The sequence below is a fragment of the Homo sapiens genome, chromosome 8 (genome assembly GCF_000001405.40).
Source record: "Homo sapiens chromosome 8, GRCh38.p14 Primary Assembly".
Taxonomy (NCBI): domain Eukaryota; kingdom Metazoa; phylum Chordata; class Mammalia; order Primates; family Hominidae; genus Homo; species Homo sapiens.
The window spans coordinates 9,173,387-9,186,373 of NC_000008.11; the positions used below are offsets into that span (position 1 = coordinate 9,173,387).

At 44.1% G+C, this 12,987-nt stretch overlaps 2 annotated features.

Moving 5' to 3' along the window:
• Positions 9,621-10,606: an enhancer, noted in NCBI's record as "NANOG-H3K27ac hESC enhancer chr8:9040517-9041502 (GRCh37/hg19 assembly coordinates)". NCBI's record gives its function as "activates a minimal SCP1, AML or CMV promoter by ChIP-STARR-seq in naive H9 embryonic stem cells {active_cell/tissue: H9 hESC(naive)}" and the evidence as "EXISTENCE:reporter gene assay evidence [ECO:0000049][PMID:30033119]".
• Positions 10,607-11,592: an enhancer, noted in NCBI's record as "NANOG-H3K27ac-H3K4me1 hESC enhancer chr8:9041503-9042488 (GRCh37/hg19 assembly coordinates)". NCBI's record gives its function as "activates a minimal SCP1, AML or CMV promoter by ChIP-STARR-seq in naive and primed H9 embryonic stem cells {active_cell/tissue: H9 hESC(naive and primed)}" and the evidence as "EXISTENCE:reporter gene assay evidence [ECO:0000049][PMID:30033119]".

Genomic DNA, 12,987 nt, shown 5'->3' on the forward strand with positions numbered 1-12,987 from the left:
CGCCCGCCACTACGCCCGGCTAATTTTTGTATTTTTAGTAGAGACGGGGTTTCATCGTGTTAGCCAGGATGGTCTCGATCTCCTGACCTCGTGATCCACCCTCCTCGGCCTCCCAAAGTGCTGGGATTACAGGCCTGAGCCACCGCACCCGGCCTTAATTTGGTACTTTTATCCTCTCTCACCTGGACTATTTCCACAGCATTGCCTATATTTCTGCCACCCCCCACTCCGACCTCGCCCTTTCCTCTGCAGTCAGGATGAGCTTTCTCAAATGAAAATCAGATTTTGGCAGGGCGTGGTGGCTCACGTCTGTAATCCCGGCATCTTGGGAGGCTAAGATGAGAGGATTGCTTGAGCCCAGGAGTTCGAGACCAGCCTGGGAAACAAAGTGAGACCCCCCGTCTCGACTAAAATATTAAAAAAAAAAAATTATCCAGGTATGCTGGTGGATACTTGTGGTCCTAACTATTCTGGAGGCTGAGGTGAGAGGATCATTTGAGCCCAGGAATTTGAGGCTGCAGTGGGCTATGATCATGTCATTGCACTCCAGCCTGGGTGACAGAGCAAGACTCTATCTCTCAAAAAAAAAAAAAAGAATATCACGTGGTGCTTCCTTTTGCTGATGTCTCTTCCTAACTCTGCAGATGAAGTCCTTTATTTCCAACCCCAGGAAACCTTGCATCTTCTGGTGGCTGTTGCACCCCTCATATGTAGCCTCATAGGCTGCTATGTCTACCCAGAGAGCCTCTTCCTTTGTTTTTCTGGTGGGCTCTTATTCATCTCTCAAGACCCAATTCAAGTTGTAACTCCTCTGTGAAGACAACTTTCACCCCAGCCCATCATCCCCTTCTCCACAAGCCACAATGTGTGTGCCTTGTTCTCACCTCCAGCCCTTACTGGGGTTTCTCATGCAGCTGCAGTCAGACAGCAACTGGGACTGGAATCACATTAAGACTCACTCTCTCACATGTCTAACATCTCTCTCTGTCTCTCTGTCGCTGCATGTGAGAGTAGTATGGCTTCTTCTGTGGCAGCTTAGAGCTCCAGAGGCACATGGAGAAAGAAAGAGGGAGAGAGGACGTGAGAGAGAACCCTCAGCCTTTTCTGACCCACCCTCAGAGGTCGCAAAGGCCTGCCCAGATAAAGGCGAGAGGATGTAGACTCCAACTCTTTTTTCTTTTTCTTTTCTTTTCTTTTTTTTTTTTAAAGACAGGATTTCACTCTGTTTCCTAGGCTGGAGTGCAGTGGTCTGATCATGGCTCACTGCAACCTTGACCTCCCAGGCCCAAGCAATCCTGCCTCCTCAGCCTCCTGAGTAGTTGGGAGTATAGGTGTGCACCACCATGCTCGACTAATTTTTAAATTTTTTGTAGAGATGGGGTTTCCCTAAGTTGCCTAGGCTGGTCTCAAACTCCTGGCCTGAAGCAATCCTCCCATCTTGGCCTCCCAAAGTGCTGAGATTACAGGCGTGAGCCTCAACCCGGCCAAGACTCCATCTGTTGATCGGAGAACTGCAGGATTTTGCAACAGCATGAGGTTCTGGATATTTTATGAGTGTTTTAGAAAATACAGTCAGCTTTGTCCTACTATGAGTTCTTGATTATCAGCACTTCATTTAACAAGCATCCTAATAAATAGTGCCTTTCCGTATCTATGGCAGACGGCCCCTGTTGCTGAAAAAAGCTATTAAACATCACCTTGAGGGACCTGAGCAGTTGCTAAACCACCAGAGAGAGCCTGAGATTTTCCAGAGTCACCCATGGATGATGTCAGTTGCTCATTACTTGGTACAGAAGGAACCAGCTCCCTAGGGCTCCCACTGGGCTCCCAGTCAATGCTGCCATAAACTGGCTGGCTTTGCTTAGGCAACCTGTTGGCTGCAAGTGCCTCCGATCAAAACCAGGAGCTGCTTTAGGCATTCTGTGGTTTGATCAGAATAAACAAGATCCAGCCAAGTCCCCGAATTTACCATAGAGATGTTTTCAACTGCATGGCTCTTCACCTGGACTGTAGATTTTTGGTGTGTGGCTTGCAGGGAACTACAGGGGCCACACACCAACCATAAGCACCAGGCCTAAGGCAGAAGCAGAGAGAAACCAACTCAAGGCAGAGGAGCCGCTGGGAGGGAGAAAGGTGTGAGGAGAGGACTAACAGAACAAGAGGAGGCAAACAGATTAAAAAGAGCTTGAGAGGGTCGGGCACAGTGGCTCACACCTGTAATCCCAGCGTTTTGGGAGGCCGAGGCCAGCAGATTGCCTGAGCTCAGGAGTTCGAGTCCACCCTGGGCAACATGGCAAAACCCCATCTCTACCAAAAATACAAAAATTAGCCGGCCTCAGCGGCAGATGCCTGTAATCCCAGCTACTCGGGAGGCTGAGGCAGGAGAATCGCTTGAACCCAGGTGGTGGAGGTTGCAATGAACCAAGATCGTGCCACTGCACACCAGCCTGGGCGACGGAGGGACACTCCACCTCAAAAAAAAAAAAAAAAAAAAGCAGTGGAGGTTGGCATGGGCTCCACATCACCAGGGTGGTGACCTCCATTGATCTTAGCAAGATAAGGAAAACTGAATAAGCCTCGTGCCAGCTTGTCTCCACCCTCCCACCCCAAGACAGGTGTTTCCCTCTCTTCGCAGGATCCAGTATTTAACATAACTACACAAGTTTGACCAGGCCAAAGCATCTCATGGAGAGGACCCTCAGGTGGTCGGAATTAAAACAGAATTTTAATGTCACTGACTTGGCTTAAGTTGATTACTGACTGACCTATCTGGTTGAAACAAGAGGCATATTTTTCTGTTGTGCAAATGATTAATAATAATGTTTTTAAAGCTGAAGAATTAAACATCAACTTAGCATAAGAACCAGGGTCATTCAAAATACCCTAGCAGTTTTAGAAAACCGTGAATTTTGTTATTGTCACTTAAAGCGGCATCATGGTATAGTCTGCAGGTTTTTACCTTTTTACTGGACCCCCTGGTCACAAAAATAATTAGATGGAGGAAAGGTTAATTAAAATAGTGTGAGGAGAGCTGCAGCTGTCTTTTATCCAGGCTGGTCTTGCAACTTCAGTGGATTCCACTAAGTGCTGTTAAGAAGGCCAATAACTCATTTACATATGGATTATTCATTTCAAACAGTATGTATTGGTTGCTTTCCAGTAGGCTAAGTGCTGGGGACAAAATCACTAATAAAATGCACCCCTTCCAAGTATATGATGTCCCTTTTATGTTATAAAGTCATACATGCATACTGAAGAACATTTAGAAAATTAAAAACCCACCTTCTAATACCACTATTGTTAGTGTTTTAATGTATTTTCTTCTTGGGTACAAAAAATATTTAGTTGTAATACTATTGAATATGAAAACTTTTAGCCCAGCCTGGGCAACATAGCAAGATCCTGTCTCCACAAAAAAAAAAAAAAAAAAAAAATTAGCCAGGCATGGTGGCATATACTTGTAGCAACAAAGCAAGACCCCATCTCTAAAAAACAAAAACCAACTTTACCCTTTAGTCTGCTTTTTTTTTCTTCGATAAGACCCTCTTCTTAATGCTACAGCTAGAATGGTAAAAGGCAGAGCTAAGAGTTTCTCAGAATATTCCAAAGCCAAGAGCATGTTAATAAATCAGTGCCCCTGAGCCCAGGAGTTGAAGGCTGCAGTGAACTGAGATTACACCACTGCACTCCATCCTGGGTGACAGAGCAAGACTCTCTCTCTAGAGAAAAAAAAAAAAATCAATCAATCAATCAATGAATCAATGAAAACAAAGGCTTAGTGTTTTGAGAAATCCCGTACAGGGTTTTGTTTGTTTGTTATTCTAAGATATTTACCAGCCCTTCCCTCATTCCCCACCATACAGACCCACCACAGTATTGCCCATGTGGGGAAGAGCAAATGATACGCCAGCAACGGAGTGTCCCGTGCCACCCACGAGGCCCAGTTTCTAAAGAGTCAGCTGTCCACCTGAGCACCCGCTCCTCTTAAGGACGCAGGTGGCTTCAGTGGGTTATAATCAAAGAGCGCTGGGCTCCTGGAGGCACTGCCTTCCTTTTCTTGTTTTCCTTTTTTAGGCTTCTTCAGTGCTGCTTAGGGAGAGGTTGTTATTTGAGACTCCAGTCCTGCTTCATGTTATCTTGAGGATGGCCTGAATCAGTGTTGCACCCGACACCAAAGAAACGTTTTTTGCTTTGTTCAGATATCAATCATCAATAGATAAAATCATACAAATCCAGTAATAACCTCTCGCTGTGTTGGGGTTTGTACAGGAACAGCTCGAAACCCTTAAAGCAATGCCAAAACTTTCCAGCAGAAACCAGACCCCCTCGAGGGGACAGACCCCAAAGCCTCCGCCAGTCTGTCCTTTGTCGCTGTCATTTGATTTGCTGGGTCACCAGTGGTAGATCCAGAGCTGTGGGGCTTGGAGTTTATGAAGTTTGGGATCCTTATGTGCAGGAAAGCAAATACATTCATCATACAGAATTTTGTAAAGGGAGGGTTGCAGGTAAGTGAGAGGCCCTTTCACTTTATTTTTTAATTTATTTTTTTGAGACAGAGTCTCCCTCTGTCGCCCAGGCTGGAGTGCAGTGGTGCGATCTTGGTTCACTGCAATCTCTGCCTCCCAGGTTCAAGCGATTCTCCTGCCTCAGCCTCCCAAGTAGCTGGGATTACAGATGCCTGTCTCCATGCCCAGCTAATTTTTGTATTTTTAGTAGAGTCGGGGTTCAGCCATGTTGGCCAGGCTGGTCTCGAACCCTTGACCTCAGGTGACCCTCCCACCTTGGCCTCCCAAACTGTTGGGATTACAGGCGTGAGCCACCGTGCCTGGCCTCACTTGACTTCATTAGGTTTACAGTGAACCTAACCCTGCCTGTCCTGACACATCCCTTTCCTGGGGGAAGTGGCCTCCTTATCTATAATTTACTCCATGAGAAAGGATGTCAGGATGGTCTGGGGGAATAGCTCTGCTCATGGCCGGTAATGCTAATCACTCTTTTTCAGATAAGCTGATATTTTAAAAAACAAAGATAAGCAAAAATGAACATAAGCAAAAATGACTGGAAAAGAGAGAACACAGGAATGATATAAAAATTGCTAGGATTCTACGGTAAAATGTCTGAGTCTACCTATCTAAGTAGAAGCACAGAAATAATTTAAGGCCAGGCACGGTGGCTCACGCCTGTAATCCCAGCACTTTGGGAGGCTAAGGCAGGCAGATCACAAGGTCAGATCAAGACCATCCTTTGAATGGTGAAACCCCGTCTCTACTAAAAATACAAGAAATTAGCCGGGCGTGGTGACGGGCGCCTGTAGTCCCAGCTACTCGGGAGGCTGAGGCAGGAGAATGGCGCGAACCGGGAGGCAGAGCTTGCAGTGAGCCGAGATTGCCCCACTGCACTCCAGCCTGGGTGACAGAGCCAGACTCCATCTTAAAAAAAAAAAAAAAAAAAGAAATAATTTAAATACTAGCCCTGGAATTTCTTGAGCTACAAAAGCCATTTTATGGCCCTGAACAGCTTACCTAGCTTTTCCTAAGTCTTGCTGTCTGCGCTTCCTGACCACATGATACACATCCTCTAATTCTGCGTTCTGAGGGAGAGGCAGGCCCAATATTTTATACCCTCCTGGCACCACTACAAAGGTCCTTCCCCTGTTAAATCTGCCTATTCAGTTGAGTTTCCAGTGGAGGTCCCTCTCGTATTAATTCGGTTAGTATAAGTGCTGGCCTTGGAGATTGCTATAAGGCTTCAAGTCCAGGTTCGTTCATAAGCTCTGAGTTTCCTTTCCCACATAGAGAGAACCGTGCTTTAAAGGTTCACCCATGAAAGGCGAAGAGCCCCAGGAGGTTGAAACCATATATCAGCACACGTAACAAGTGCCCAAACACACAGGTAGTAGAGAAATGATCTGTGAGAGAGGCTCTGTGCTCACTAACACAACCTAGGGTCTGTTCTAATAAGGCCACTTCTGTAGGGCTTACCCAGCTATATAACATTTTAGATTTCCTGAAACTGCCAGACTTCCTCAAAGTGTAACGCAAGCCATTGATCATATCATTTATTCTGCCCCTAATATGTGCAAGGCAGTGGGCTAGGGGATGTGTGACGTATACAAGATCATTGTAATAAGACTGCAATTATTATGTACCTATTAAGTGCCAGTTCCTATGCTATGGTTCCATGAGTTCATTTTATGCTCAGTGCAGTCTTTAAGATAGGCAGATTAACCCCATTGTATAAAAGGTGAAACAGAATCAAAGACATTAAGTAGTTTTCCAAGGTCATATCCTAATGGCTACTGGAAGTAGAATTCAAACCCTTACCTCCTACTTTAAGCTGCAATTTTTTTCTTTTTAAACCACCATATGTTACTTGCACATCCTTAAGGAGATCACGGCCTTGGAGAAATAATCAATTGCTTTCTTATGGCTTTAACATCCCCACGTGTCCTTAAGTGGAAAGAATATGGCTTAACATAAGTAACAAGGTGGTATTACTTCCTTGACTGAAAAGCAGATAGAATCATAGATTTTAAAAATTATATATAATTTATTTTATTATAGGAATAATTCCTGCCCATTGAAGAAAATTTTTCAAATGCAGACGTGTATCAATAGCAAAATCATTAGTTAAATGATTTAAATATTTAAATATTCTTTTTTTTTTTTTTTTTTTTGAGATGGAGTCTTGCTCTGTCACCCAGGCTGGAGCGCAGTGGCGCGATCTCGGCTCACTGCAACCTCCACCTCCTGGGTTCAAGCAATTCTCTGCCTCAGCCTCCTGAGTAGCTGGGATTACAGGTGCCCGCCACCACGCCTGGCTATTAAATATTCTTTAAAACATAATTTTGATGACTTCCTAGTATTTCATCATGTGAATAGACCATCATTTATTGATCTGTTTCTTAACTTCTTTACTTCTACAGACAGGGCCAGCAGAGGGGTGCATATTTTGCATTCTGCACAAAGTTCTGGCCTAAGTTGAAGGCTCCTTCATCTGTGGGCTGACACTCAGCTGGCACTCTGCCACCTAGGGCAAACATTTCCGCAGGCTGTGGCAGGCCAGAGGAACATCTTTTTCTGTGGACACAAAAGCTCCTAGAGAGGCCAGTAGCAGCCTTGATGATAGACAATTCTCTGCAGAGTAGAACACAAAAAGCTCTTGAGTATCATCTACTATTGGTAATTTCTACCAGCAGAAGCCACTATCACCTGTATTAACTTCTGTGCCTCTTTTTTTAAATTAAAAAACTTGAATGTTTATATTACTGTAATTAATTTTTTTTTATAGAGACAGGGTCTTGCTATGTTGCCCAGGCTGCAGTAGTTGCTATTCACTGGTATGATCATAGCACACTACAGCTTGAACTCCTAGACTCAAGGAATCCTCCTGCTTCAGCCTACCAAGTAGCTGGGATGGCAGACTCACACACCACCATGCCCAATTTTTTTTCTTTTGGTAATTATGTTTTTTTACTATGAATTTTATTGCACCATTTTTAATAACACTGCAGTTACTTGGAATCATGTTTCTGCAGGTAATAAAATATTTTTCCATTTCCTTTTTATTTTAAATGCAGTTAAAAATATACAAGCATTGAAGATTCTTTTTAACCGTGGCAATTATTATAGATCGAACATATACTGAAGGAGTCTAAATGATGATGCCAGATCCCTAGGCTTATATAATTCCAAGGAATTAATGCAACTTTTGTACATTTGAGAGGTGTGATTGCAGTGTTGAGCAGGTGCTGAACTCTTGATGTCAACAGGGACAGAAGGTCATCACAGATTTCTAGTGTCCTGCTCCATTATAGATGATAATGCAGAATTAATTTTAGTGGGGAAAACCAGCTGTGGTTATAATTCTTTTTAGATTAAGAATTAAAATGACATTCATTTTGGGAATGTTTCTCTACTGCCTTCGCCACAGGAAACTTGTTGGACTATAAATTGCCTAATACATTTTGCATGTCCTTGAGTTTTGGCTAATGTACCAATCTCTTTATTAGAACAATCATTTACATGATATAAATCTGCTCTGAGCACAACTTTGAGACCAGGCGCCCTGGTTCATAATTACTGCTGCTGTCCTGGCCAGCGTCCGGGAACTGGCCTCACAGGGGCTGCATCTGACAGTTTTAATTCTCCGCTTGGAGCAAAGAGGCTGCAAATGTGCTACACACCAGTGCTTCTAGCTTGCCTAGAGTCAGACTTTCATTTCCAACAGGAAAAGCCAGGGAAGTTGAGATGAGCCATAACTTGAAAAGAAAGGTTAAAGTATGGACACTTGCCAGTGGAATGCAGGAATGATAGCAGCTTAATCTTTTCTTCTACCAAAGAATGTGAGTTTAAGACATTCCTGGCCGTGCGCAGTGGCTCATGCCTCTAATCCCAGCACTTTGGGAGGTTGAGGTGGGTTGATCACCTGAGGTCGGGAATTCGAGACCAGCCTGACCAACGTGGAGAAACCCCATCTCTACTAAAAATACAAAATTAGCCGGGCATGGTGGCACATGCCTGTAATCCCAGCTACTAGGGAGGCTGAGGCAAGAGCATCGCTTGAACCTGGGAGGCAGAGGTTGCGGTGAGCCGAGATTGCACCATTGCACTCCAGCCTGGGCAACAAGAGCAAAACTCGGTCTCAAACAAAACAAAACAAAACAAAAAAATAAGACATTCTTAAAGGTTAAAGAAACATGTGGCAGTAGCAATAGTCTTTGAATCAGAATGGAATCATGTCGTTCCTTGAAGAATTTCACTTCAATTTATACTATAGTAAGTATTGACCTTCATTTAGGAAATTGTTGTACGACAAGCATTCTAAATATTGTTAAATTGTTTTAACAGTTAAGTGAATGTGTGTGTGTGTGTGTGTGATGGGCCAGCCTCACTATGGCTGGTCAAGAATAGATATAAAGTGCTTTCTGTTGGTTTTCTTTCTTTTTTTTTTTTTTTTTTGTCTCTGTCAGGTTTGCATGTCTAGGTAGGAAATGGACCTGCACCTTGGGTCTATTTCTTGAAATAAGGGACACACAAGAAAAGGGAAGCAGCAGCATAAAATTTAGGGTCACTTACGGGCTAGGTGACTTCGGTGTCACTTCTGCTCTTGGAGCCTCAGTTTCTGCATCTGCAAAATGGGAAAGCACGGTTTTCAGGAAGATTCAAATGTGAATGTGCTGGAGCAGTGTTTGTTCATCTCTATTAATATAAGAAAAGGTGCATCCCCAATTACTGCCACATGATGAGACTGGGGCTCATTTCTCTCCCCTGACACCTCTGCTCTCCCTGTTGCTATGCACGGCACATGCTGAAACCCAGGACCCCTGGGCTCTGTCACTTAGTCGTTGCCTGTTAAGACTATGAGAAATTCATAGAAATCCCAAATTCTACTTGGAGCTCAGCTTCCTCCTTAACAAAATGATACAGAGGGACTAGAGACTGTTCAGCATCCTTTTGGTGACAAACATCTATGAGTCCAGAAATAAGTGCCAGGAGGTGACAAATGGGATTCTGTTTCCTCACTGTAGGGAATCCAGAGAGATAATGACTTCGCGCTTAGCACCTGGGTCAGTTCTGCTTGGCTTTTCCCCAGCCAGCTTCCTTCTCTCTTTGGTTCTGACCTTTTGATTTGGAGCTGTCAGGAAATTGATCAATGATACACTTAGTATGGCTCATTTCATCAATATAAGTCGCTAAAGAGCCACTTTTTCTTTTCCTGTAAACAAGCACTTGCTTATGAGCCCAGAGGGAATTGGTAGACAGCGCTGCGTTGTTTCTCAGCCACGCACACACAGTGATGATGCACTTTGAAATCTAAGAAAGAAAATGAATATTATTTATTACAAACCTGCCACTCAGATCTTTCCTGTGGCCCAGAGTGACTCTGTGGGGGCACTGCACCTGTGAACTCCAAATATCTGAGATAGGTATCAGTCAATTTAGAAAGATTTTTTGGCCAATGTTAAGGACGTACCTGTGACACAGCCTCGGAGGTTCTGATGACATGTGCCCAAGGTGGTTGGGGCACAGTTTTTTTTATACATTGTAGGGAGACGTGAAACATCAATCAATATGTGTAAGATGTACATTGGTTCAATCCAGTGAGGTGGGACAACTTGAAGCAGGGAGTTTGCAGGTCATAGGTAGATAAGAGACAAGAGATTGCATTCTTTTGAGTTCTTGATCAACCCTCTACTGAATACACAACGTAGTCTGGTTCAGTGAATCTGCATTTTTACAAAAACAATAGGGCAGAGGAAGCTATCAGATATGCATTTGCCTCAGGCAGGCCTCAGAGAAATCACTTTGAGTTCTGTCTGTCCTTTGTCCTTTGTGGGCAAACTGTGAGGGAGGCATGCAGCTTTTTATCTTTCTAGCAGTCTTATTTAGGAGTAAAATAGGAGGCAGGTTTGCCTGCCATAGTTCCCAACATGACTTTTCCCTTCGCCTAGTGATTCTGGGGTCCCAAGATTTATTTTCATTTTACACACCTTACTCTTCATTTCCTAAATAGCATTAAAATCCAATTTTAAACTTTCTGCCTGGCCAGGTACGGTGGCTCACGCCTGTAATCCCAGCACTTTGGGAGGCCAAGGTGGGCGGATCACCTGAGGTCAGGAGTTTGAGATCAGCCTGACCAAGATGATGAAACCCTGTCTCTACTAAAAATACAAAAAATTAGCTGGGCATGGTGGCTTTCACTCACGTCCGTGGGAAGAGACCACCAAACAGGCTTTGTGTGAGCAACGAGGCTGTTTATTTCACCTGGGTGCAGGCGGGCTGAGTCTGAAAAGAGAGGCAGCGAAGGGAGATAGGGGTGGGGCCGTTTTATAGGATTTGGGTAGGTAAAGGAAAATTACAGTCAAAGGGTGTTGTTCTCTGGTTGGCAGGGGTGGGGGTCACAAGGTGCTCAGTGGGGGAGCCTTTGAGCCAGGATGAGCCGGGAGAAGGAATTTCACAAGGTAGTGTCATCAGTTAAGGCAGGGACCAGCCATTTTCACTTCTTTTGTGGTGGAATGTCATCAATTAAGGCAGGAACAGGCCATTTTCACTTCTTTTGTAATTCTTCAGTTACTTCAGGCCATCTGGATGTATACGTGCAGGTCACAGGGGACATGATGGCTTAGCTTGGGCTCAGAGGCCTGACAGTGGCAGGCGCCTGTAATCCCAGCTACTGGGGAGGCTGAAGCAGGAGAAGTGCTTGAACCCGGGAGGCACAGGTTGCAGTGAGCCGAGATCGTGCCAATGCACTCCAGCCTGGGCAACAAGAGTAAAACTCTGTCTCAAAACAAACAAACAAAAACACAAAACAAAACAAACAAACAAAACTTGCTGCCTTTAGTGCTATCCAATGGGTCTATGAAGGCTTTTGATGGTGTGACTTCCTTTCAAAGGCTTTTTCCTGTGTGCCTACACTGGCTCGGTTGTTCTTGCCTAGACTTTCTAGGGATAGAAGGTGGCATTCTAAGCATGGTTCTATTGTTTTAAGAGTTAAGGGGATGCGTATGTGTGTATGGGTATGTTTCTAATCACAGAAAGTGGGGATTAAATATCTCATCCAGATCTTATACTAATGTGCAGATCATTGACTTACGATTTCAGGAGTGGCAGAAAATCCTTTGTTTATTTTGTCTCTCCCTCTATTCGTGGACAATGTTGTCATTGTCAGGCCTCTGAGCACAAGCCAAGCCATCGCATCCCCTGTGACTTGCACGTATACATCCAGATGGCCTGAAGTAACTGAAGATCCACAAAAGAAGTAAAAAATAGCCTTAACTGATGACATTCCACCATTGTGATTTGTTTCTGCCCCACCCTAACTGATCAATGTACTTTGTAATCTCCCCCACCCTTAAGAAGGTTCTTTGTAATTCTCTCCACCCTTGAGAATGTACTTTGTGAGATCCACCCCTGCCTGCAAAACATTGCTCTTAACTTCACCGCCTAGTCCAAAACCTATAAGAACTAATGATAATCCACCAGCCTTTGCTGACTCTCTTTTCAGACTCAGCCCGCCTGCACCCAAGTGATTAAAAGCTTTCATTGCTCACACAAAGCCTGTTTGGTGGTTTCTTCACACGGACGCGCATGAAAGTCATCTGATAGGACATTACAGTAGTGTTTGTCTGTAAATAGCTTTTGCTCTAATTCTGTCCCCTCCACTTGGGGATGCAGGACAGCAGAGTCAGGTCACTGGAGAGCCATCTGACCCAAGGTCCTGCTGTCAGGCAGCCTTTCAGCCACGTCAGACCAATGATAGTCTCTCATCTCCATTGCCTACATGAGCTAAGGTGCCACCATCTTGTCTCATCACCTGCTGCAATGTGGAATGGAAATTTGTGTTTTTCAAGGAAAGGCTTGGAAGAAAGTGTTATTTTCCCTAACACCAGAAGGTTCATCTGAATATCCCTAAGGACTTAGACAAGTGTGTGAATGAATATCAACGTAAATACTTTGTTTTTTTTTTTTCAAGTTTAAAAGGGGAGTAGGGAGCAGAGAAATAAAAGAAGAGAGGATCTTTCTATGCAATAACCATTTTTAAAAGCCAAAATTCCCTAAAAAGTATTATAAAGGGCTGGATGTGGAGGCTTACACCTATAATTCCAGCAGTTTGGGAGGTCTAGGTGGGAGGATCACTTGAGGCCAGGAGTTTGAGACTAGCCTTAGTAATATAGTAAAACCCCACCTGTACAAAAATTTTAAAAATCAGCTGGGCATGGTGGTGCATACCTATAGTCTCAGGTATTCAGGTGACTGAGGCAGGAGGATCACTTGAGCCCAGAAGCTGGAGGCTGCAGTGGGCTCTAATCGTACCACTGCACTTCAGCCTGGGTGACAGAGTGAGACGCTATCTCAAAAATAAAACAAAAAAAGAAAAGAAAAATGATGTAAAAAGGTAAGACTCGACTGCCTAACTTCAAATTCACGATTTGAGCAGGAAAATCAATGATCAATTTTCCTGGGCAACTACAGGTTACCTTCCTTA